At 46.4% G+C, this 27,058-nt stretch overlaps 1 protein-coding gene across 1 annotated transcript; it reads left to right on the top strand.

Annotated features, from left to right (window-relative positions):
• Positions 1–2,790: 2,790 nt before the first annotated feature.
• Positions 2,791–23,099, top strand: MS4A18 (membrane spanning 4-domains A18). Its single transcript, NM_001354471.3, has 7 exons — positions 2,791–2,865; positions 7,375–7,857; positions 11,605–11,718; positions 15,049–15,105; positions 16,973–17,068; positions 19,101–19,214; positions 21,721–23,099. The coding sequence occupies exons 2-7, from the start codon at positions 7,387–7,389 to the stop codon at positions 22,063–22,065; spliced, it is 1,197 nt and encodes a 398-aa protein (NP_001341400.1). The 5' UTR covers positions 2,791–2,865; positions 7,375–7,386; the 3' UTR covers positions 22,066–23,099.
• The last annotated feature ends 3,959 nt before the right edge of the window (positions 23,100–27,058 follow it).

The raw sequence follows: 27,058 nt of genomic DNA on the forward strand, positions 1-27,058 counted from the left end.
TATGTTAATATGTAATAAATATTTTATTTTAAAATAGATTAGTAAATCATTTTTAAGTATCTCCATTTTAATTTCTAATATGGTATAAATATCAACAAATTTAACCCACATAAACAAGTGTTCTTCGAGAGTACTTAATAACTTTTAAAAATGCAAAGGACTCCTGAGACCAAAGAGTGTGGGTCCTGAGACCAGAGTTTATGCTGTTATTCTCCTCCTCAAAGCCCTGCAAGGGTTCCTAGCATCCACAGAATAAATTCCTGACCATGGCATTCAAGACCCTGTTCAGCTGCCCTTCAATCCCTCTTCCCACAATGTCCAAATCCCAGTTGTCCAGCCTCTCTGTCAATGGCTCCTACCTTGAACTCACCAAATTCAGGCATCCATTCACTCATTCATCAAATGCCAAGCACCTGCCTCTGCAGGTAAGAACCACATCCCACCCCTTAGGAGCTCAGAAGCTCATAAGGAAGGATACACACATACTCGGATAACAGTGGGGCAAGGATGCAGGAGAGGTTCCGACAAAACGCTATGGGAGCCTGTAATCCCAGCACTTTGGGAGGCCAAGGCAGGTGGATAGTCTTAGGTCAGTCTGGCCGACATGGTGAAACCTGGTCTCTACCAAAAGTAAAAAATGGGTCTGGTGTGGTGGCAGCCACCTGTAATCCCAGCTAACCTGTAATCCCAGCTACCTGGGAGGCTCAGGCAGGAGAATCGTTTGAACCCAGAAGGCGGAGGTTGCAGTGAACCGAGATTGTGCCACTGCACTCCAGCCTGGGTGACATGAGGGTGAATGAGGGCGAATGAAGCTCCTTCTCAAAAAAAAAAAGGTATGAGAGTTTGGAGTAGGATGCTGTCAAGGGACAAAGCACTTATTTTTTTCAAGTGGCGGCAGGTTTCCTTAGGAAATAACTGTTTTTGGCTCTTTTGGGGTATGGGAAATGAAGCCCTCCTCCCATCCCAAGAAATGACCAGGTTGGGGAGGGTAAAACAGAGAATTGTTCTGCACAATATTGCAGGAAGCATCTGGAAATTCTGAGGGCAGCTCTGCAGGGGCCGGAGGACGAGGCTCTAGGATGGGAAGAAAAGGAAAGAGTGGAGAGGAAGAGGATGGGGCCTAGAAGCATGGAGGAAGGCCAGGGTCCTGGAGAAGAAAGGGCCCAGCTGAAGTTCTCTGTGACAGGAACGAGCAAGGGACTAAGATCAGAGACATCCAGCACTTGATGTTTAGTTCATTGCTCTGTTTTGGGGCATTGGCATCTTTCCCACCCCCTACACTTTAGTAAAATTCCGCTACACAGAACCACTTTGTGTGAGTAAAGCTGTAGGAAAATCAAGGAAGGGAGAGTTTTCTAGTGCTGCCATAACAAAGGACTACAAACTGGGTGGCTTGTTAATTCAACGTATCGTCTCACAGATCTGGAGACTGGAAGTCTGAGATCAAGGTGTCAGCAGGGTGGGCTCCTTCTGGGGCTGTGAAGGACTCCATTCCAGACCTCCCTGCAGGCTTCTGGTGGTCCGTGGGCATCTTGGCCACTCCTTGGCCTATAGATGCATCACTCCAGAGTCTGCCTTCATGTTCATGCAGGCTTCTTCCTGTGTGCAAGTCTGTGCAATATCCCCTTTTTACAAAAACACCAGTCATAGTAAATTAGGGCCCCTTTTAACCTAATTACTTTTGCCATGAAACTATCTCCGAATAAAGTCACATTCTGAGATACTAGATGAGGGGTTAAGACTTCAGTATATCTTTTTGGAGGGTTCCATTTCAACCCACAGCAGGAGATGTGTTCCAGGACTGAGTTCATGTGGGGTGGACAAACAGCCGTAAAAGGGGAGATGTGAGGGAGATCAGGAGTGTATAGGAAATTGAGCAAGGAAATTGACTATGTAAAGCGTAATCTACATGAAGAAATCCTCCAACTTATTGGGAATGGAGCTACTATATATAGGATGGCGGCTTTAGCCAGTTCATGTAAACTAAAGGAAAGGGTGATTCTATAAGGCTGGAAAAATTGGAGACACACACACACACAAACATCACAGGCAGCTCACATTTGGGGCATGTGGGTTCCAAAGAGATTTAGTTTGACTGTAAAGTTCAGGGAAGGCTTTGTGGAGGAAGAGGCTTCAGGATGAGCGTTGGAGGATGGGGTGAATCTGGACATGCTCCCACACCTCTGGTTCACACTCTTCTGGAATACACTGTGCCTTCAGTGCAGCTTTGATCCAGTCTTTCTTTCAATGTCCAACTTGAGTTAGATGTCCAATTCCATGTCCAGCCACTCGACAAACCTCCTAGGACCAGCCCATCCCTTTGACACATCTCCCAGCCACATCATCCCTGATGGTCTGACTGAATATTTGTTTGTTCCTATCCATACTTGCACTAGAGTTATCCCAACAGTGGTTATATTCTGTCTCGTCAACTCCTTGCAAATTCTAGAGCACCTCGTATCCTAGCATACCACCTAGCACACACCAGACACTCAATAAATGCTCACTAATTGCTTATAAGGGAAATCTATTGGCTCAGAAAATCTTGACCCACTTCTGGATTTCTCACTTTCTCAAAGAGAAACTTTGGAAGGAGATCCCATGGAATCCTACTTTAGCCAAGGCCATAAATACTCTGAGGGGCAAATAAACAGCGTGGATGCCAGAGAATAGACGTATTGACTCCAAATGAAACTGCAAAGAGGACTTTGGAGCTTGAAAGGGAAACCTAATTTGAGTTTATTTTCTAGATGATTAACATTAAATAGTGCCAATCCATCAGCTAGCACCAGAATTTCTAGATCAGGCTGCAGAAACCCACAGAGCCTGAAGAAAGAGCATCCAAAGACTTCCCAGGAGCACAAGGTAAGACTTCTGTGAATTCTTCCGCAAGACTCTGACAGAGCCTGGATAGCACCAGCAGAGACGTGGACCTAGGCGGTCCCTCGGAAGTGTCTCTTGAGAACCACAAGGAATCAGGGGTTCAGACATAGGGTAGTGCCCTCCAGCAAGACAGGCGTGCAGCCACCCATCCTTGGAGGTGCTGGGAGGCTGGGAAGTAACTGAAGAGTCACAACAGGTTCTCAAATTGAGCTCCTGTCTCTGCATGGACACAGCAATCTTAAGATAGAAGGCTGGAGACTCTGCTAGGCATTTTCTGGCTGCCTTGCTCCCTAAGCCCAGCTGTAGGCACACTGTGATCAGGTCTACTTAGGACCTCAATCTAGAACTGGTGGAATGGCTTCTGATGGAACCACTCTTTTTTTTCTTCTTCTTCTTTTTGAGACGGAGTCTCGCTCTGTCACCCAGGCTGGAGTGCAGTGGCGCGATCTCGGCTCACTGCAAGTTCCACCTCCCGGTTTCAGGCCATTCTCCTGCCTCAGCTTCCAGAGTAGCTGGGACTACAGGCGCCCGCCACCACGCCCGGCTAATTTTTTGTATTTTTTAGTAGAGACAGGGTTTCACCGTGTTAACCAGGATGGTCTCGATCTCCTGACCTCGTGATCTGCCCGCCTTGGCCTCCCAAAGTGCTGGGATTACAGGCAGAACCATTCTCTTTGTTCCTGACATTTTCCTGACGGGAGGTAGAATCTCAGGGGTCCCAGGAACATCCCTCATAGGGCCCAACTGTTTGTGCCAATTGTCAGGTCTACGGCTGTATTGTTTTTCACACATTAAAGAAGGAGTCCTCTGAAAAAAAGGAAGAGAGAAATGATTAATTTTTTAATATCATGAAGCAGAGTATAACATTTAGCACAGTATTCATTATGAAAATTGAAGGCAGGCAGACTATCAATTCTTGTATTTCAAATCTCAACTTCAGCATTTCCTAGCTGTGTGACTATGGTCAAGGCACTTAACCTCTCTGAGCCTCAGAGAGTTTGCCCGAGAAATGGTCATAACAATAATATATTGCTGGGGGAACTGCCTTATATCTACAGGGTTATGAGGCATCAACATCCAAGGATGCTGTAGTTGTTATTCTAAACCACTCTCCTGGGAAATCTGTTATTCTTCAAGAAAGCAAGGAATGTCAAGGTCTAATGCAGAAGTGGCTCACACTGCCTGCACAGCCTCCATTCATGCAGCTGAATGTTCCACCATCCATATGTCACTGGTAGAACATTTCTTCTGGGAAATGAAAACATAGTGAAATGCAAATAGCAGTCAGAAAAAAATAAATTTGAGTCTCAGATCTATTCCTGTGGGTTGCATAATTGTAGACAAGTTATTCCACTTTCAGAGCCTTGGTCTCCCTACTTTGCAAAGAGGCGGGTCGGATCAAAATGAGTGAGAAGACAGGGGTGAATGCCTTAGCCATCAGGTGTCAGACCAGTGACAGTTGTTTTTCCTATGGAAGAGTAGCATGGAAAGGGGCCTCAGAGACCAGCTAGATTTTAAAATAAGGAAAAAGCTGGGAATTTTCTGAAGCTTTATATAACCAATATTTTGAACTGTTGGGATCCAAGGAAAAAGAAGTGAAACCACAAAGGAGAAGTGTAGGGCATTTCTGCATGGAAGTGGTTCTCAAACTTCAGCAGCATGAGATTCACCTGGAGGGTGTGTTGAAACACAGATGGCTGATCCTTGCCCCTGGACTTTCTAGTAGCTCTGGGGAGGGGACCAAGAATTTGACTTTCCGACAAGTTCCCGGTGATACTGATACTGCTAGTCCAGAGACCGTACTTTGAGATCCTCTGCTATTAATACTAAATCTAATAGTTTGGGGTCAATTAGGAAAAATATTCACAACAATGGCCCCTCTCTTTTTTAAGATTGGGGTAACACTTTTATTTTATTTTATTTTATTTTATTTTATTTTATTTTATTTTATTTTATTTTATTTTTACTCTAAGTTCTGGGATACATGTGCAGAACGTGCAGGCTTGTTACATAGGTATACATGTGCTATGGTGGTTTGCTGCATCTATCAACCCGTCATCTAGGTTTTAAGCCCCACATGCATTAGGTATTTGTCCTAATGCTCTCCCTCCCCTTGCCCCCCAACCCTCCGACAGGCCCCAGTGTGTAATGTTCCCCTCCCTGTGTCCATGTGTTCTCATTGTTTAACTCCCACTTATGTTTGGTTTTCTGTTCCTGTGTTAGTTTGCTGAGAATGATGGTTTCCAGCTTCATCCACGTCCCTGCAAAGGACATGAACTCATTCTTTTTTATGGCTGCATAGTATTCCATGGTGTATATGTGCCACGTTTTCTTTATCCAGTCTATTGTTGAGGGGCATTTGGGTTGGTTCCAAGACTTTGCTAAACAATGGCCCTTCTCTTATGGGTGGTCTCTACCTTTCAACAAAGAACAAATGTTAACTGTTCCCTCTGTGCCAGGTTCTATGCTGGCAGTTTTCTCAATCTTCAAAACACCCTTTGGAGAAGGTGCCACTATTATGCACCTTTTATAGATAAGAAACTGACAGCGTATGCAACTTGCTCAAGGTCGTACAACTAATAAATGAAGGAACTGAGAAGTGGACTTAGGGCTGTCTGAGCTCTTAACCCTGATACTGTCTTGCTTTCGAGTTTACTTTATAGACGATTAATATTAAATAATGCCAATTCATCAGCTAGCACCAAACTCAAAATGTCCATTGACAATTTGGAGTGTTTCTCTCACTCAGGATGCAGCTGGGACAGGGGGATCAATTTATACTTGTGATTTAGTGAGGACAGAAAGCCTCCTGAGAACATACCTCTGGGGTCCTGCACACGTTATTTTGTGCCATAGGATTTGGTGTCTTGCCAGTAAGGACTGTATAATCTAAGTAAAGGGATAAGCCCACCAGCCACAACAATTAACAAGTAAAGTACACTAGTAACATTATCTCTCATCTGAATGGGATATCTTCGCATCTAATAATATCTTTAATGTTCTGAGGGCTACATGCCTACCTCCTCCCATTGCACACTTGCTCCCCAGCATCAAAAAATTAAGCAATTCTCTAAGTCCAGCTTATCAGTCCTCATCAAATCGGGACAATATCCCAGGTCTCCCCCCAAGTGATTCCCTTCTCAACTTTTTCTAATGCTCAAGATTCAGTAGAAACTGCAGGCTATTAAGGGTTTGATCACTGTCATAATCTCTAGGACCCTGGACCATAATGGTTTAAACACAAGGAAAATGCAACAAAATTTCTACATGGTCGCAATCCCAACACCAACATGGACAAGACCCATGAAGAGATTGAAAGGGATGATCATTCCCAGGCCACTTGGCCCATGGTTCCTCCTGGATGTCAAGGGCACCCAAGAAGCCTGGGAAAGACAGTCTGTTTTTTTGCTCTGAAACCAATTAATGTTGAAAAATCATACACAAAATGCCTTAATTAAATTAAACCCATAAATGAGTTAACTAGTTATAGACTTCAAGGACAGAAGTACAGCTGGGGCAAATGAGAACCTAGAACCGAGAGTCAAAAGGACATCAAAGACCAAGGTAGTATCTGTGTGTATGTGTGTATGTATGTGTGTGTGTGTGTGTGTGTGTGTGTATCTGTGTGTGTGTCTGTGTGTCTGTGTCTATGTCTGTGTTATCTGTCTTCCTCCCTCCTTCCCTCTCTCTGTGTGTGTGTATGTGTGTGTGTGTGTCTGTGTATCTGTCTTCCTCCCTCCTTCCCTCTCTCTGTGTGTGTGAGTGTGTGTCTGTCTGTCTGTGTCTGTGTCTTCCTCCCTCCTTCCCTCTTTCTCTGCGTGTGTGTCTGTCTGTCTGTGTCTATGTGTCTTCTTTCTCCTTCCCTCTCGCTCTCTCTTTCTCTCCTTCCCCCTTTTCCTTTCCCTCTCTCTCTCCTTCTCTCCTCTTCTTTTATCTCTCCCTCCCCCAATGCTTCTCAGCTTTATTCTCTTCACTCTACTAACTGGTGTTCTCTGCTCCCCCTGCACACAACATACATGTGACCCCTCCAACTCTGCCTAGCCTCCCATCCCACAGTAGTCCTTGGGTCCAGTTCCAAATTCCCAGGAGAAAGAAGTTACCAGAGCATTTGGGGTCAGTTGTTCACCCCCAGATCAATCAGCTTTGCCAGGGCAGGGGGCAAGATGGGGAGGTAGCCTGTGCCCACTCAACAAACTCAAGGCATGCAGATTAAAATGCCAACTGCAGGGGGCTAAGCAAAGCCACCATCCAGACTGTGAACAAAAGGTCTACAAGAAGCTAAGTAGCCTCGGGAAACCCTAGTCTTGCAAATCCAAATCCGTAAAAGGAAAACAGTGTGTTCTTGCCAAGAAAGGCAAGAAGTTTATTTTGTCTGGTACCATGCTAGGTGATTCTTATTTTAATGAAGATGAAACTAAAGATAAGAATGAGATAAGATGCATTATTCATTTTGTCAGAAGAGGGAAATGCACCTTCTTATGTGTTTTGCAGCAGTTGTACACCATGACCGAACAGGTGATTGGAGCCAACAGTGTACCTGGCATTATTGCCCCAGATAATGTTCACGTCATCCAGCCCAGCAACCCTGTGGCCTCTGGAAATCATCTGCAGCCTTCAGAGGTGACCACTTACCCAATCTCACCAAAAGTAATCCACTGTGATACAGGAAGAGCAAACTTACAGAATCTACTCGTGGTGAACCAGAACTCAGCAGCAGGTGTACAGAGTCAACCCATTGGGTATCAGCGACAGTATCCAGTGGGAACAGCCAGTTTGCAGACGGTGCCTGGAGTGATCCAATACACACAGGGAACCACGAATCTCCAGACATGGCCTGGAGACCTTCAGAATCCTCTGAATGCTAACCCTGGGCTGACACACACCTCAAACTCATCCCAGTGGAACACGTCATTTGCATCATTTACTTCATTTAATCCCAAGAAATTCATAAATGAGGAGGTCAGAACATTAGGGGTGAGTGTGATTTCTCCTTCTCTCCGATTTGGGTCACTTCATAAGCCCTCGTCTAGTGCTCTGGGATGAGGAAGGGAATGTGTTGAGAGGGTAAAGGGGAGGTGGAGTGGGTGTGGGGGGCAGTTTCTGGAGGCTGGACCCAGTACAATCACCCAGATGCTGGCCCCTCTCCCTTGTCTTCCTTCCACTCCCCAAGGAGACCCATGGTTTGGGGGATAAAGGTTTGAATAATCAGTGAACATCCCCACCTTACCCAGCTATCTATCAGGGGCATGGGTCAGCAATAGTTCCACTAAAAAGACCACTGAGCAGGGAGTCAGGCAATCCAGGTCTCAGGCCAGCTAGATTTGCTGAGTGGCCTTGCAGACATCTCTTCCTCGCTCTGGGCCTCCATTTCCTCATCTTTAGAATAAGAAGATTCAGCTTTCTTAAATTCCTTCCAGCTCCAAGGTTTTGTGATTTCCTTTTCAATCAAGGGGGCCTCTGCCTCTTTCCTGCCTCCTCCAGTTTCATTTAGCACCTTCCAAAGCTCAATTCAATTCTGTTTTTGAGGCAGAAGCCAGATGCCTGGCTGGATCTGGATGCCTGGCCAACTCTTAGTATGGAGACTGGCGTGTCACAGATGCCCATACTCTATGCACTCATCCATTCAACACTGCACGTGCCCTGCAAGGAGCTGGAGACTCAGAGATAACCAAAACATCATCCATGAAGATGAAGGAGGGTCTTTGTTCATGGCAGCTGTCATAATTACAATACCTTCTGGCAATTGCCATGAGACATGCATAAGTTATTGTGGCTGCCCAAAGTGCAAATTGTCTGGCTTCTTTGAGAAGTTACAAACTGCCTCCTGGAGGCAGGAAGACAAGGACAGGTGCAGGAAGGGGACCCATTCCTCCTTATTTAATCCTGGGTAGACAAGTAGATTGTGCCAGGAACAAGGCGTTGTTTGCCTCCCAAACAAATCAAAATCAAATCCTGAACTAAATTCTATAAAACAGCAATCAGGAATAGAAATCCTGGTCAGGCCGGACACGGTGGCTCATGCCTGTAATCCCAGCACTTTGGGAGGCCAAGGCAGGCAGATTACAAGGTCAGGAAATCGAGACCATCCTGGCTAACATGGTGAAACCCTGTCTCTACCAAAAATACAAAAAATTAGCCAGGTGTGGTGGCGGGTGCCTGTAGTCCCAGCTACTCTGGAGGCTGAGGCAGGAGAATGGCGTGAACCCGGGAGGCAGAGCTTGCAGTGAGCCGAGACAGCGCCACTGCACTCCAGCCTGGGCTACAGAGCTAGACTCAGTCTTTAAAAAAAAAGAAAAAAAGAGGGAAATCCTGGTCACAAGCATCAAGTGAGATTATAAATGTGTGCGGAAATCCTCCAAAAGGTAAAGCTGGTCTATGATATTGCGTAGTAATTATCATCTTGTATTACAATGACTATCATTATTATTAATTAATACTGGGTAAAGGTTTGTTAACTTTGGCTAGCAATTATTCTAAGATATTTTGGAAGGATTTCAAAATTTGTCAAAACAGAATTAAGTCAGAGCAAATATCTGGGGAACCTGGCCAAACAAAATGAAAAGCCAAAAAGCCAAAACTGCAGACTATCTTTAATCAATTACAATTTTGTTTGGGGAAGGAAACTATGAGTGCCTCTTAGCCCTTTTCCCGATTGCCCCAAGAATATTCGCCAGCAGCACTTGCAGCTGCAGTATTTAGCCCGAGATAACTTTGCCAATGTCTCCCTTTTATTATAACTTTCGCCTTGCTCTAGCATATTGACCTTGGAAGCAAGAGACATCATTCTATTTATAGCATTCTGTTTTTAGTAGTAGTATTCCCATTTACAAAATACAGTAATTCTCGATTACTAAAAATGTCAAATCCTAGAAAACGTAGCATTTCTACGCATGGTGTTAACATTGTTCTCAAACAGTTGTTGGCCAAAGATTCATTTGATGAATCCAGTGTTTCCGAAGTAAACAATTCTAATGTTAGTTCTGTTTAGAAATCACTCGAAAAACCGTTTTTATCATTTATTTTCACAATGAAAATCAGCCAGATTTGCTTCAGCCTCAAGAGTGTGTTTATGTAAAATTAAATGAGTGCTGGCAGCGAGCGGCACTATTTTTTTTCTAAATGGGAACAGGGTTCATTAATATACTGATAAAGTGGGCCTGTAGACAGAGTCAAGCATGTCGCCTTAGGAAGGGATGTTCATGTGAAACCCAGGTCTGTCACCAACTCATAGACTCATGGACCAGGAAGACAGAAAGCAGCTGCCCTAGGCTAGTCATTTGATCCCTGAGGAAACTGAGGCCCAGAGAAGCCAGTGGTAAATGCTGTAGGAGCCCCAAATGAGAGGGGATTCATCCTGGACGGGGGCTCAGGAAAAGAATCTCTCTGGTCCTTAAGGGAAGGATAGGATTTCAGGAGGAGGAGAGTAAAGCAAGCAGATTTCAGACAGTGGCAACAGTGGAGGAAAAGCAGGGAGTAAGGGGAAAAACACAGGACTTGCAGGGGACAGAGGATCTCCCCTTGTGTACGTTGCCAAGGGGAACTGTGGGGACGTCATAGAGGAGGCCACAAAGAGAATATCGGTACTGGGAAGATGAATGGAGTCAGCAGAGGGCATTGAAATACTTACTGCATTCAGGCCTGGCGTGGTGGCTCACCCCTGTAATCCCAGCACTTTAAGAGGCCGAGGCGGGCGGTTCACGAGGTCAGGAGATCGAGACCATCCTGGCTAACATGGTAAACCCCATCTCTACTAAAAATACAAAAAAAAATTAGCCTGGCTGGGTGGCAGGCACATGTATTCCCAGCTACTCGGGAGGCTGAGGCAGGAGAATCACGTGAACCTGGGAGGCACAGCTTGCAGTGAGCCAAGATCACGCCATTGCACTCCAGCCTGGGCGACAGGGCAAGACTCCGTCTCAAAAAAAAAAAAAAAAAAAAAAGAAACACCTACTGCATGCTAGGAACTGGGCTACAAGTTTCATAGGCACTTTTAATCTCTACCACAGCCCTGCAAGCTGGATACTGTTACCCCCATCTTGCAAATATGTAGCCTCTCAAACATGCTCTTGAGGCTGAAGCAAATCTGGCTGATTTTCAGAGTGAAAATAAAATATAAAGACCTTTCTTCGAGTTATTTCTAAACAGAACTAACATCGAATGGTCTGAATCATCAGAATCATCTATTTTGGAAAAATCAGATTCATCACATGAATTTCGGCCGACAACTATCTGAGAACGATGTTAACATCACGTGTAGGAATGCTACGTTTTCTAGGATTTGACATTTTTGGTTTCCCTGCAAATAAGGAAACCCTGAGGCAGAGAGGATATTTGCTGGAGACCACACAGCCGGCCAGTGCTGCAGCCAGGACAGGAGCCAGGTGGTTTTCAGCCACAACCCGGGCTCGGCCCGTGTCTCTGCACACTTGTGGGCTCAGTCTAAAGGGAACACATTTCTTGCTCTGTTATAGGCTGTCTTACCTTTCCTTTATGCCTGTGATTCTCAGCCTGAGTGCAAATTCGCATCACCTGTGAAGTTTTTAAAAAAACACCCAGGTGTGGACCCTACCCTCAGAGATTTGTATCCATTTGGTCTGGGATGAGCCCCCAACACCAATCACCCCTGGGGTGATTCTGGGGCACAGCCAGGGTGCAAAGCACAGCTCCACAGCCCACAGGCCCGCAGTTCTGCTCTCTCACAGTGACTTGTTCTCCCTGCAGGCCATCCAGATCCTCATCGGCCTGACGCACATTTTCTCTGCAATTAACCCTGTGCTGTATTACTATCCTTTTGTGACCTGGTTGTCAGGGTACCCGCTCTGGGGAGGATTATCCGTGAGTACAAGGCCATATGGTCTCCTTCCTGGGTCACCAGACTGGGACAAGAAGGAAGTGGAGGAAGAAGGAGCATGGAATCCCATTCCCAGTAATATGACTCTGTAGACTAGAGCCAGCCTCCAACTTGCAGATACAGCAAAGGGTTATATCAACTCCCTGCCCCAGCAACACTCCCTCCCACCACCACCCTCCCCATCTCCCATACCCCCCACCCAGCCTCTAGGGAACTATTGGGTACAAACACTCATTATCATGTTCTTTACCTCTTCCACCCTCTCTGGGTTCTCTTTTATGAGATATTTATCTGATAAGGCCAGGCAGGGTGGCTCACGCAGGTAATCCCAGCAATTTGGGAGGCCGAGGTAGGTGAATCACTTGGGGTCAGGAGTTTGAGACCAGCCTGGGCAACATGGCAAGACCTCCCCCCACCCGCCATCTCTACAAAAATACAAAAAATTAGCTGGGTGTGGTGGTGTGCACTTGTAGTCCCAGCTACTTGGGATGCTGAGGTGGAAGGATCACCTGAGCCCAGGAGGTGGAGGCTTCAGTGAGCCATGATCACACCACTGCACTCCAGCCTGGGTAACAGAGTGAGAGCCTGTCTCAAAGGAAAAAAAAAGAAATATCTCATATGTAACTCAGAGTACGTAAAGTTGTGTGCTATAGACAGCATCTACCTACCATACCAGTTATGGGAGCCGACTGCAAAATTTCCAGGAATTATGTAAAATGATTGTCAAACCATTTGGTAGCAGGAAGTTGGCCATGTTGGGTATACATACGACATGGAAATCAACACGTGCTCCAAATCAGGGCCCTTCCCTGCAGTGCTGCCACCTCATAAGGCAGATGTTAATCATTTACCAGCAGGCCATTCAGTATATTTCATCTTGCAGAGCTTAAATAATATTAATAAATTGAACACCCACATGTACAATTCCACTTAGATGAGGTCCCTAGGGTGGTCAAATTCATAAAGATAGAAAAAGCAGCATGGTGATTGCCAGGGGCTGGGGTAAGAGGGTAATGGGGAGTTAGTGTTTTATGGGGACTGAGTTTCAGTTTGGGATGATAAAAGGAGATCTTGGGGTGGCTGGTTGCACAACAATATGAATTTTCTTTTCTTTTCTTTTCTTTTTTTTTTTTTTTGAGGTGGAGTCTCGCTCTGTTGCCCAGGCTGGAGTGCAGTAGTGCCATCTCAGCTCACTGTAACCTCTGCCTCCTGGGTTCAAGAAATTCTCCTGTGTCGGCCTCCCGAGTAGCTGGGATTACAGGCATGTGCCACCATGCCCGGCTAATTTTTTGTATTTTTAGTAGAGACGGGGTTTTGCCATGTTGGCCAGCCTGGTCTCGAACTCCTGACCTCAGGTGATCTGCCCCCCTTGGCTTCCTAAAGCGCTGGGATTACAGGCATGAGCCATCCCACCCAGCCTAACAATATGAATTTTCTTGGTGCTAGTAAACCAAACACTTGAAGGGGTTTGAATGGTATGTTTTAAGTTGTGTGTATTTTACCACGATTAAAAATAGTAAATTAAATTAAAGTTTTAAAAAATGAACACCTACGTGTCCACCACCTAACTTAAAAAACAAAGCATCACACGTGGTTTTTAAATTTTTAAATCCCTATAAGTATCCCCTCTATGCCCCGAGAGGTAACCACTATTTTCAATTTAATGTTTTTCTTTTTTTTTTTTTTTTGAGACGGAGTCTCGCTCTGTCGCCCAGGCTGGAGTGCAGTGGCGCCATCTCGGCTCACTGCAAGCTCCGCCTCCCGGGTTCACGCCATTCTCCTGCCTCAGCCTCCAGAGTAGCTGGGACTACAGGCGCCTGCCACCGTGCCCGGCTAATTTTTTTTTTTTTTTTTTTTTTGTATTTTTAGTAGAGACAGGGTTTCACCGTGGTCTCGATCTCCTGACCTTGTGATCCACCCGCCTCGGCCTCCCAAAGTGCTGGGATTACAAGCGTGAGCCACGGCGGCTGGCCGATTTAATGTTTTTCATTCCCTTGCTTTTTTTTTTTTTTTTTTTTTTGAGACGGAGTCACTCTGTCACCCAGGCTGAGACACAGTGGCACAATCTTGGCTCACTTCAACCTCTGCCTCCTAGGTTCAAGCGATTGTCCTGCCTCAGCCTCCTGAGTAACTGGGATTACAGGCGTGCACCACCACTCCCAGCTAATTTTTGTATTTTCAGTAGAGACAGGGTTTCACCATGTTAGCCAGGCTGGTCTCAAACTCCTGGTCTCATAATCCACCCACCTCGGCCTCCCAAAGTGCTGGGATTACAGGCGTGAGCTAGCACGTCCAGCCTCCCTTGCTTTTCTTTATGGTCCGATCATATTTACCTATATGCCTAAGCAACGAGTGGCTTGGCTTTGCTTGTTTACAAACGCATATACATGGAATAATCCTGTATTTGCATGCAGCTGGCTCTTTTCCCCCACTGGCCATTTTGTTTGGGAAGAAGTGAGTTCCTTTGAGGGGTAGCTTCAAGAGAGCTAGCAAAACCCCTGAGTGCCCCTATTCTCCCCCATCAATAATCCTATCCTTGTTCTCTCACTTGAACTACATGACCCACTTGCAGATAGAGAGGGCTGGAATCATTATGTATGCCCATTTGCCAGATGAAGAGACTGAAGCTCAAGATCTTCCTCCAGCACTTTCTGGCTATGAGGATGACACCACCACATCCTCATAGCCAGAAAGTGCTGGAGGAACGTCCTGAGCCCAGGCCTCCTCATTTCAGGGCTCTCATAACTGAACAGAGCTCTTACTGCTTCTGATGTTCATGTTTCCATCACCTGCTCAGCAGCATCAAGTGCTAAAGAGGACCCTCTAGCTGGGTCCAGGACCACAGCAGATGAGGCCACAGCCCAGGTCTCCTATCTCCCAGCCCCAAGGCTCCACCCACCACACTGCTCAGCCCCTGGTTTTCCAAGATCACAGTTGAGGATAGGGCAGCGGAGGCCAAATGAGCAATTAATGCATTTTGGCGATGATATGTCCAGACAGTGGACTCAAGGAGAATCAGTCAAAACATAATAATAATGAGATTTACAGCATCCTGGGACAAAATTCAGGTTTTTAGGGGAAAGGAAGGTGTTAGCCTAGACCCACAGGAGTTTGAGTATCACGGTATTTAGTATATTTGGTGCCTAACCATTGGGATAGTAAAAATGTTGGGAGGAAATAAACAGATTTGCACATTTTGTGAAACAAGGTGCATAGAACATAAAGATTGAGAAATGCGTCTCTGAGTGGACAGCTGTCTTTTTTAACATGCTGCACAATTGGTCATTCTTTTTTTTTTTTTTTTGTCTGCGTAGTATATTGTATCTGGATCCCTCTCAGTATGGGCTGCAAAGGACCCCAGTCCTTGTGTGGTAAGTCACAGTGCTGTCTTTGATGATCCTTGAATGTTAGAATTTGACTCTCTACCAAACATGAAAAAAGGAGACTCACAGTAGTGGTGTGGCCTGGCCCTGGCCCTGGGTACAGTGCATTTCCATACCTTATTCCAGTCAATCCCCATCACTCTGTGAAGCTGTATTATCCCCATTTTTCAGAGGAGAAAATTGAGGAGCAGAGAGGTCAGGTGGCTTGCCTAAGATCACACAGTGAGTACATGGCAGAGCTGGGATTTGACCCCAGAGCCCTCTGATTCCAAAGCTGTTCTTTTTTAACTATTGCATTTTACTATTCAAAAACTTAGCTCTTTGGGAAACTCATGAGTATTTACACGCAGTGCCTTATGGGTGCTCTGAATTAAGCAGAAAGCCAGGCCTGAGCCAAACGAAAATGTGTGTGCATCTCGGCCATCTCTTTAAGATATTTTCCATGATCCTCTTTGTGTGGACCTAGAAAAGTGAGAGCAATACCTGCCTTGAACAATTTAAAGTCCCAACCAGGAGCACAGGGCCCAGAATTCCCTTGCACCTTTGGGGCATTTATTCTCTGTCTCAGCATCCAGCAAAGTATCTGGTCATGTTTTGATTTTTGTTGCAGCCTCTAAGAAGCTTAGGGATAAATTTAGAGCTCCACAATGGCCCTTCTCTCATCTCCTTCCTTCTCAGGTCCTCCTTCCCCTCTCCACTTTCTCTGTATGGCTTGTCGTCTTTCTTCTGCCTTTTGATGGGAAAGCAGTAGGTCAGCTAGGGGCTGGGTGTCTAACAGAGGGTTTCCCAATTACCAATCTCCAGTCTGCAAGGCAAACTCCTGTGGCCCCACAATCTGCCTTGCTTCACCCCCTTTAGGAAGAGCAGAGTCCTCCAGACACCCCAGCATCAACCAAGCTCACACCACCTGTTCATATCCCAACAGGACTGGGAAGTTCCATATCCCCTGGGAAGTCAAATGCTCTCCCTAAGGTGACTGCTGACTCGTGGGGGTCTCCTAGTCCTCTCTTGCTCTGACATCTGACTTTCTATTGAAATCTCAACTTCCGTTTCTACTTTATACATCTCACAGCTGTCCTGGCCTCAGCCCAAATGTAGAACACGGTCCCTTTCTCTTTCACCTTTCTCTCTTCATCCCCATAACCCTCTTAAAGGGAAGCAGCTTGAGTAGGGGATGGATAATGAATAATTCGAGGACTTCAGCCTCTCAGCACTGAGCGGCAGACCCCTCAAAGTTGAATATGAGAATTTCCGGTTCTGAAAACCTTCCCCAGCCAATCCTGCCAGGATGCTGGCCCCAGCCTTCCACCACAGGGACCAAGTCTCCCCGACTCCCTTCCCTCAATTCAAGCTTGGGATCTCTGCTCACTTCTTCTGCAGAGTAGTTCTGCATCTTTGCCTTATCTCTTTCTGAATCTCATTGCCTACTCTCTGCTGCTTCGAAAGAAATTTTCCCAAACAAATCCAGTCCCTGCCATAGAAGGATGCTGCACATTGATTAACGAATGATTTTGGGTGGAGGTTTGGAGGAAAGAAAGGATCAGGTAAAACAACTAACAGGTACTAGGCTTAATACCTGGGTTATGAAATAATCTCTACAACAAACCCCCATGCCACAAGTTGACCCATGAGACAAACCTGGACTTGTACCCATGAACTTAAAATAAAAGTTAAAAAAAAAAAAGCAATGATTTTTCTCACCTCACTATCGCTAAAATAAATGCTTCTCCACCCTGCCTGGCCAACTCTTTTCTGCCCTGCCTTCTCTCTTCTCCGACTTCCCAAGAGTCCCCACAAGCCAGGCTTCAGACTCTTCAGACTCGGCTCCCTCTCTCCTCTCCCTCCTCTCCTGCAGGTGAACAGCAGCATCAGCTTCAACATCATCAGCGCACTCTTCGCCTTTGCCGGGATCTTCATTATCATTACAGATCTGAGCCTTTACTATGTGACGGTGAGCATCTGACTGCCAGGGCCCCGTGCTGCCAAAGGACCAGGAGGGCTTCTGAGGTTGCCTCCCCAGAGCAGAATGGAATTGCCCCAGAATTCCATCCTAGTATGACAACCACTACATCCATAAGCTATTTAACCGTCACCAAAACCCTGTGCCCTCTGAGGTGGCCATGATAAACTCCATTTCACAGTGAGGACACTGAGACTCAGAGAGGTATAGCCACTTGACCTCTCCTCGTACCTATCCTTTTCTCTACTTGGAGGTAGCAGGTGACCAGGTAAGCGGCCTAGGGGGCTGCCACACTCAGACTCACAAGATCACCTGCCCCTAGGGGTCTCTCGAGGGATAGCCTTTCACACAAACAGGAGGTGCGGATGCTAGTTCTGGTCTTTTGGTGCGGGGACCTCCAGATGCAGATGCAAAGAGAAGGATTCAGGTGCAAGTCGTGTATTTCAGAGGTTATTCTAGGAAACCTCACTAGAGGAGGGAAGAAGTAAGACAAACAAGGAGAGGAAGCTGCACTATAAACGTATTATCCGGCAAGGACCCCTGGAGGTGGACCTGCCGGGGCCCTGGTAGCCAGGGAATGATATGTGCCTTAGCTACACCCTGTCCTGGAGTGAGGGTGTATTTATCCACCAACTCCCCTCAATCATTGATCAAAAACTGCTCCTGAGGGGCATCAATTCCCTAGTGCTTCCAGTCTGCCATGCTCATGGGCAAAGGAGTTTCTTGTGGCCAAAGGAAGCCCTCAAGTGAAGCCATGCAAATGAAAGTCAGGCAGCAGGCATGGAAGGACATCAGTAACATTGACACAGTACTTGAGGAGGCCTGAAGAACAAGATCGAGAGTAGCTAGCTCCACAGTTGGCTGCAATCTGATCCTCTCTTGGGACTAACCAAGTGGGCAAGGGAAGGCTGGCAGGACACAGGGTCTTAAACCAGACATGTCTACAGGGGTGAGGGCAGTCCCTAAGGGGAGAGCTCCCTGAAGGCCCCAGGAAGAAGCCTGATGCACAGGGTGTAACTTGGTATCTAGGGGATGTGGCAGCAAGATGCTGGCCTCTGGAGTCCAATAGGATGCAACAGGATGTCCCAACAAGGGAGTGGATTGTGTTCATGTGGAACCAAGAGCACAACAGCTACAAATCCTAAAGGTGGTCATTTGGCAATCAGGACCTCTGTCATCAAGGAGCATACTAGTGCAGTGTAGCACAACGGCACTGGATTCCAACAGGCATTCCAAGCCCTGGGATCCCCACCCTCTGCTCCAGAGAAAGAGTGTGTAGGGATGAGAGGAGCTCAGTGATCCCTTCCACCCTACTGTGGGCAGGGACCAGGCCCAGAGCACACTGAGCTCTCTGGGACCCCTTCAATCCTGCCTTAGTTTCTGTCTTGACAGAATCCCTTGAAGCTCTGAGGTCCCATCCCAACCTGTCAAGGGCAGTATGAGGCAGGGATACTGGAAGAGGGCTGAGAAAGCCAGGAGCCAGACAGAGCTAAGGACCCTGACCTAGCTGGTGTCTATCCCCTGGCCCCAGGCAAGTAGCCCAGACCCTCATACAGGGTTTCCTAGCCAGTGCACTTGTTGAAATGTCTCAGTTTGGGTTCCTCCCAGGAGCAGAATTTGAGACAAGTAGTTTATCTGGGAGAGGAAGCAAACACCAACTTAAGGGGTAAGAGAGCTGGGGTATTTATACACCAGCCCCTGACAGTCATGGAGAGAGGGCTGTTCTCAAGAGGCACTCATTTCCTGGAACTTTGAGCCTGTGCAAACAGCAAAGTAGGCTTCAGAGGCCAGAGAGAGCCCTGAGGCAAAGGAATGCAGGTGCTGGCAGTTGGAAGTCAGGCCAGTGACTAAGAGGGTAAGGCAAGGGCATATAAAATGGGTGACCCAAGCACCTGCTCCAAAGGGCCACATGCAGAGAGGGTCTCAGGCCTTCCAGGTGAGGTGTGTGGCACTCCAAATGTGGACTGTCACCTAGGCCATCAACCTGAAGGACTAAATGCCTTCCATTTCTCTTTGCCTTTAGACATATTCAAAGGCGGTTTCTGGCGGTCTTCTCCCCTTTGCCCTCCTGGAGTTCATCCTCACTTGTGTGGTCTCACATTTTGGGTGCCAGGCTACCTGCTGCAGACAATTTGAGGTAAGCATTGGACTCTGTTCCAGGAATCAGATCATGCTCTGGAGTTGGGTGTGGGCTATAGCAAGAGGTAACCAGAGATCTGGAGAAATGAGGCCTGAGAGAGGGTGTATCAGTTAAGTTTTGCTGCATAGCTACCTACCCCAGAACTTAGTGACTTCCGGTTATTTAGCTCTTTATTCTGTGCATCATCAGCTTGGGCTATGATCAGTGGGTAGCTCTTCTGTTGGCCTCAGATGAACTCACCCTTGTATCTTAGCTTGGGGATGGTTGGTCTCCAGGGACCTTCATGAAATAGCTCACCTCTGCTCCACATGTTATCTCATCCTCCAGTACGCCCACCTGAGCTTCTTTGTGGGGAGCTAGGTTCCAAGAGTAGCAAGACACAGCAAGCTCCCACAGGCAAGCACTTTAAGTCCCTGCTTGCATCACATTTGCTAATGTCCCACTGGTCACAGTCAGTCACATGGCCGAACCCAGATTCTACGAGTGGAGCAACAGCTCTACCTCTTGATAAGAGGAGCTACAAAGTCACCCAGCAAAGGTTAATGAATATAAGGATTTGTAACCAGTATTGCAGTCTACAACACTCTTTCCTCTGGCCACAAATTACTCACAGCTGTCCAAGATGCAAAGTATGCTCAACCCATATTTTGGATGCCCAAATGTCCCATCTAATCATGGCATCAGGCTTGAAGTCTAGGATCCAAATCAGATCTAGATGTGACTGAGGATTTGGGTGTATTGCTCTTCTTGATCCAGAAACCATGAACTAAAAGAAAGTTCTGTCCCCATATATCCAACATACTTTAGTGAGAGAAAAATAGGATAAATAGAATTCTGTTATTTCCCCATTCAATAAAGGAAAGAACAGAAGCACAAGATTGTCACTGCTCCATAATAATTCTGAAATCCTATGAGGCACATATTGTCCTACCCTGGGGGCAGAGAATGTTTCTTGATTAGGAGTCAATTTGACTCTCTGGAAGACTCTGCCCATGCCATTGTTTTCTATTGCTTCCTGAGAGGAGCTTTCTAATCCATTGTTTTCCAGGACCTTGACTCCACCCTCTGGACTCTTGGCTCTACTCTCAGAAACATGTTTTCTTTTTTCATAAGGAAAGGCCTGTATTTTCCACCTTGATTTCTCAATCTGCTTCCCATATTAAGAGTGAGCCCCAAAGGTCTTTTTGTAGTTTGAGCAATTTCAGTCAGATTTGGTCCAAGTTGGTAATCCTGTTACTAATAAAATTCCCTTAAAAACTCCAAGGGTGTTTTATGTATCAGATTATGGCTTTCACCATCTGATAAAAGCCACACCTAAGACTGTGTTCTAGACACACTCTTGCTCTAAATCTACCAATGTCTATTTTGGGATTAGGCTTCTGTGAGACCAATACCTTTAGATTCTTAGAAGCATTTCTGTCTAGCTGAAAGGGTCTAATAAGCACTGATTAAGCCTTTCAAAGGTCTTAACAAAGGGCTGTATAGACACATCCTTGTTTGATCTTTGTTCTTAGGCCTAGTTTTACTTTGAATGTTATTTATCCATTGAGGACCTTGGAAATTAGAGACAATCTTGTTTTCTAACTCATTAAGTCCTGGGCTCTCTTCTTTGCCTCTAAATACCACTTGCAAACTAAATCATTCCTTCTTTATCCTCACTTTCTCACAGCACTTTACCATATGCAACCAGAAGCACCCAAATGACATTTTCATTATTCTGCCTGATGATCTCCTTAGCCAAATCCAAAAGTTATTAGATGCATATTTTTGTCTTCTGAAGTACAACAGCACTCCACCACTACATAACATGGGAAATCATTTCTCCAGTCTGCTGTGGCAGTTTCCTCTCCCCTTTTCCAGATTCCTTCAGCAGTGAGATCACCACTTTTCCAGCCTTTGCTAAAGGCTTACTCACAGCTTCTCCAGCGCCACCTGCCACCTAGTCCCAAACCCAATGCATGTGTTGGATTATTGTTATCTTACTTCTAGCTACCAATTTCTACATCAATTAGCTTTTGCCCCATATCAAACAACCCCAAAACTTAATAGCTTACTCAACAACCACTTATTTAGCTCCTGATTCCCTGGGTCTGCTGGGCAGTTCTTCTGACCTCTGCTGGGCTTGCCATGAGTCTGCAGTCAGTTGGTGAGTTGCCTGGTGGCTGGATAGTATTGGGCAGTCCCACATGGGTGTCTGGCTCTTTGCAAGCTGGCAATCAACAGGGACAACTGGGCCACTTGTCTTGCATTATCCAGCAGGCAGGCCAGTCTTTATGTTCAGTGTTCCAAAGAGCAATAAGAGAAAGCAAGCTCCAATGGGCAGACACTGTACAGATCATATTTACTGTTGCCCCCTTGGCCAAAGAAAGTCACATGACCAAGCCCAGCATCAGGGAGAGAGGGTCTACCTAAGGGTATGGAAACAGAAGGAAGAAAAAAATTATGGCCATTGTTGTTGTTTACTACAGAGGAAGATGACGACCACATGTCCTTTGTCTTTCAGAATGTGGCAGTGATTCCAACCGTATTCAGTTTCAACCCAGCCAATACCACCACCAGCCCTGTCAATGCTACCACTGGTCCTGTCAATGCTGCCACTGGCCCTGTCAGTGCCACCAATGGTCCTGTCAATACTACCATTCACCCTGTCAACACCACCACCAGCCCTGTCAACACCACCACCAGCCCTGTCAATGTTACCACTGGTCCTGTCAATGCTAACATTGGCCCTGTCAATGTGACAACTGGCCCCGTTAACACTACCACTGCCCCTGCCAAAGCTACCACCAGTTGTGTCAATGCTATCCACACCAGCAATGTACCCCCGAACCCTCGTACCAAGAAATAGCTGATTTGCACAGAGATAGATGACATGGGATGCCTGTCTCAATGACAAGGGGATACACTGTAGCTGTATCTTTTCTTCTCCCTGAAACTTCCATGACCATGACCCTAGCCTTGTTGCCAGACTGAAATGAACAAGCATTTCCTCTCCTCTTCACTCCTAAGCTTCATTTTTGTTTGTTATTGATGTCTTTTTTTTCATTCATAAATAATTTTCCTTTGGCTCTCAGTATCTTTTAACCTTGGCAAAGTTCAGGGTGCATTTTGGTTCCGTGGTTCCTGATGTATGCTCACTGTTGAAAAACCGGTTCTAAATCGGTGCCTCAGCCATGGAATTCTTGTAGGTCCAACTTCTTCCCAGTCCGCAGCTCTAACTCTGACACGGTTCTCCCACACAGAGGAGGGGGAGCAATGTGGAGTGTGTTCAGTATTCCCAGGTGTAGGAGGAGGAAAATCTTTGTGACCTAGAGTTAGGTGAAGAGTTTTTAAACAAGACACCAAAAATACAATTCACAAAAGGAAAAAAATCAATAAGTTGGACTTAGAATTAAAAACAGTTGCTCTGTGAAAGATCTTGCTAAGATAAAAAGTCATAGGCTGGAAGAAAATATTTGCAAATCATATATCTGACAAAGGACATGTTTCCACAATATATAAAGAACTCTCTAAACTCAACAGTATAAAAAAAAATCTAATCACAAAATGGACAAAAGGCTTGAACAGAGGCTCTAACAAAGAGAATATAGGGTTGCAAATAAGCGTATGAAAAGATGTTCAATGTTATTAGCCATTAAGTACAATGAAATAACACTACACACCTATTAGAATGGCTGAAATTAAAAATACTGATAATACCAAGTGCTGGTGAAAACAGAGCAACTGGAGGTCTCAGATGTTGTTAGGATGTAAATGGCACTGCTACTCTGGAAAACAGCTTGGCTGATTATTATAAAGCAAAGTATACACTTACCATATGACTCAGCAATCTTGTTCCTGGGTATTTATCCTAGAGAAAATAAAACTTACTTCCACACGAAATGCGAATAGCAGCTTTATTTGTAATAAACAAAAACTGGAAACAACCTGAGTGTTCTTCACTGGATAAATAATGGAAAAGCAAACTGTGCTACATCCATACAACAGAATACTTCTCAGCAGTAAAAAGGAACAAGCTATTGATGGCTGTGGAGGAAGCAAAACTTTACCTCTACCTATCTTCATTTTTGTTTGTTATTGATGTCTTTTTTTTTTTCATTCATAATAATTTTCCTTTGGCTCTCAGTATCTTTTAACCTGGCAAAGGGCAGGGTGCATTTTTGTTCCGTGGTCCCTGATGTGTGTTCATTGTTGAAAAACCAGTTCTAAGCCAGTTCTAAATCAAGCTAAAATAGGTTTTCAGCTGAGGCTCTTTAACATAAAGACAGGTTCACAAGACAAAAGCAGTTTAATTAGCCCACACAGCACACATCACCTGGGAAAAACCTCAAGGAGAAGTAACTCAGGGCAGTGGCTTAGAATCTGCTTACATAGCATCTTCCCCAAAGAACAATGGATTTGTAGAGAAATGACAGGACAAAGGAAGGCAGTTTTAGGCTTCCAAAGGCAGGAAACGGTGGGAAGTTAAATATATGGAAAGAAACTAATGGAGTAAGGTTTGCTTACAGTTTCCTCTGGAGCCATTTCTGGGCTAATAAGAGTTTAGACTCTTCTTCAGCAAAGGAGAATTTACATCCTGCCTTTAGGCAGAAAAGGAAGAAGATAGAGGGAACTTTTCCTGCATTTGCTTCTTCTTAATTGCCTTCAGCTTGAAATACTTTCTACGTCAAAGAGGCATATTTGGGGGTGACATAATCTGGTTTCCTTCAATACACACAACAATTTGGATTTCAAGGACATGAGTGAAAAACCCAATCTCAAAGTATTGCACACTGCATGACTCCACGTATATAATATTCTCATAATGACAAAATTATAGCCAAAAAAGGAACGAATTAGAACGTCAAGAATAATAGCAATGGCCAGGCACGGTAGCTCATGCTTGTAATCCCAGCACTTTGGGAGGCTGGGGGGGCGGGGGGGTTGGATCACCTGAGGTCATGAGTTCGAAACCAGCCTGGCCAACATGGTGAAACCCCATCTCTACTAATAATACAAAAATTTGCTGGGTGTGGTGGTGTACGCCTGTATTCCCAGCTACTCAGGAGGCTGAGGCAGAAGAATTGCTTGAACTCAGGAGGCAGAGGTTGCAGTGAGCTGAGATAGCACCATTACACTCCAGCCTGGGTGACAAGAGTGAAACTCTGTAGAAGAAAAAGACGAGGAAGAGGAAGAGGAAAAGGAGGAAGAGGAGGAGGAGGAAGAAGAAGAAGAAGAGGAAGAGCAATTGCAATAATAATAATTGCAACAACACCTGCAATGGATTGAAACACATGGCTCATCATGTTAGAAAAAAAAAAATCTGTGATTATCTTTGGAGATTGCTAGGGCACACCTATTATTCTAAAAACTTGTAAATAACAGGAAAGAATCGAGCATTCCCAAAAGCAAAAGCAAGGAAAGAATCACTCAGCCTATAGCAGCACCAAGGAAGGTAAATAGGTCATCAGCTGGGATAGCACAGCACTGGGCAATGAGAGGGTGGGGCTTAGTGCTGGGCTTAGAGTCTGGACATTTCCATTTTTTCCTGCTGTTCCTAGTTCTTAAATTTCAGCATGCCTTGCTTAGTCTGGGCCTACAGGGTTGCTGATACGAGCAATGATCAGGCCACCATAAAGAAACGGACTGTTGCACTTAGCTATTGCCACAAAATTTCTGTAAAACCTCAGAGGCATCCCACAAGAAGCGTTTATTTTTGCTCACGAGTCTGTTGGTTGTCTGGGCAGCCTTCCTGATTTGATCTGGGCTTGGCAGGACTCATCCATGTGCTTGTGTTCAGCTGAGGGTCAGCTAGGTGGCCCTGCTGACCTTGACTGCATATGTGGGGCCTCAGCGGGGACAACTGGGCCAGCTTGGCTGCGCTCCATGTGTCTCATCCTCCAGCAGGCTGGTCCAGGAGTGGTCCATAGTGGTTGCAGAGCTCCAAGGGAGAACAGAAGCAGCTCAGACCTGACACATGGCCACTTCTGCCTTGTTCTATTGGCAAAGGAAGCCACAAGGCAGCTCAGTTTCAAGGATTTGGCAAAAGAGACTCCATCTCTAGCTTCAAGAGGTGTGGTGCTGGTTCAACTGAGAGCTGGCCCAGCCATGGGCATCCAGACCATTCCCTGTGCCATCTTGAGCCCTCAGGTCCTGTGTCATCTCCCTGACTTTGTGTGGGGGCATCAAGAGCAATTTTGGTGAGAACTTGAACCCAGAAACTGATGAACAATTTGCTCCACTTGCATGTGCCACTCCAATATCACTCCATGTGCACACTCACACTAACGTGTGCACACACACGTGTGCACACATTCACACACGTATGCACACACACTCATTTGTACACACACATGCATACGTATGCACACATGCACATGGATGCACACAGACTTACACGCACGTGTGCACACTCACCCATAGGTGTTCTCACACACGTGTGTGCACTGGCACGTCTGTGCACAATCACTCACGTGTGCACACACCTTACTCTCACATGCATGCGCATGCACCCACATGCGCATGTGCACACACACGTGTGCACACACTAACACACTCACACCTACACGTGCACACACATTCACACTCAATCCTCACATGCATTTACACACACGTGTATGTGCACACACATTCATGCCCACCCTCACACATTCACACACCATCACACACATCCACACACTCACACACTCACATCCACACACATTCACACACATCCACACTCACATGCACACACATGTGTGCACATGCTCACACCCTCACACACACACACCCCTATGTTCACACACCCCTATGTTCACACACCCCTATGCTCCTGCCATTGGGAAGCTGTGGGCTCCCTGGCCCCCAATCTAACATTAGACAAGTCCAATGGAAGAAAGCCAGTTGGCCTCTGATTACTCAGTTTCCCCCTCTCAGCGGCAGGGGGATGAAGGCTAGTTTGGATCCCCATCCCAGCTCTGATGCTAACTGGGGGACCCCAGCAGGCAACCTGCCTCTCTGGGCCTCGGTTTCCCCTTTTGTAGATTGTAGGAAGGTATCCAGATGCTCTCCCTGGGCCCTTGCGGCCTGGCGGCCGATGATTCCACGAGCGGCTTCCTCCTCTCCCTCAGTTGGGCCATATGGACAGAGGCCTCTGAGCCAGGAGGGACCTGAGAATTTCCCAGAGGCGGCAGCTCACAAGCAGAGTAGATTTCCAAGCCCCACGCGAATAGCAAGGATTTCACATGAATATGTGTGAACTCAGTAGAGTTGGCTGCGGGAGAACAGAGGCAGCCGGGAGCGAGCGGCAGCACAGCAGCGGTGGCAGCCCGGTGAGTACCCTCCGCCCTTCCAGGGGGGCAGTCAAGGCCGCCCAGCCCCGAGGTGTAGCAGGGGAACTGGCGCAGGAGCACCTGGGATCCCCGGGAAAGGAAAGAGATAGAGCTGCTCATCAGAGGAGGGTGCGGCCCTCCCTGTGCGTCTCATCCCCCACCTGGCACTAAGGGGCTGGACGGCTCCTGGGGCCCTCTGAACTCCTTGCCTCCCACAGACAGAGAACCACCAGCCTAGAGCCCATGGGCCCCATTGCACAGGTGAGTGGGGTAAAGGAGGGGCCTCTGTCTTCTCTCCTCAAAGCCAGTGGCTGAGATGACTCAGGCATCCGCTAGAGACCCTGGGGCCCTAACCATTCTCTCAGGGAAATGGAGTGTAGGTCCTCACTCCAACCCAGCCCCGGACTGGGCAGAAAGGTGATTCCTGCTGAGATGCAGGCACCTTGCAAGAAAAAGAGAAGGACCCGGCAGGGCTTCTTAGCTGGAAAGAAGCCGAGGGGCAAATTGTTTCACCTCTCATTTATAGATGAAGAAACGGAAGCCCAGTGCAGG

This window comes from Homo sapiens, chromosome 11 (assembly GCF_000001405.40).
Source record: "Homo sapiens chromosome 11, GRCh38.p14 Primary Assembly".
Taxonomy (NCBI): Eukaryota; Metazoa; Chordata; class Mammalia; order Primates; family Hominidae; genus Homo; species Homo sapiens.

Coding starts and splice junctions, on each gene's coding strand:
- MS4A18 (NM_001354471.3), top strand. CDS start 7,387: ATGACCGAACAGGTGATTGGAGCCAACAGTGTACCTGGCATTATTGCC. Junction 11,719..15,048: donor CGCTCTGGGGAGGATTATCC/GTGAGTACAAGG, acceptor TTGTCTGCGTAG/TATATTGTATCTGGATCCCT. Junction 15,106..16,972: donor AGGACCCCAGTCCTTGTGTG/GTAAGTCACAGT, acceptor CCTCTCCTGCAG/GTGAACAGCAGCATCAGCTT.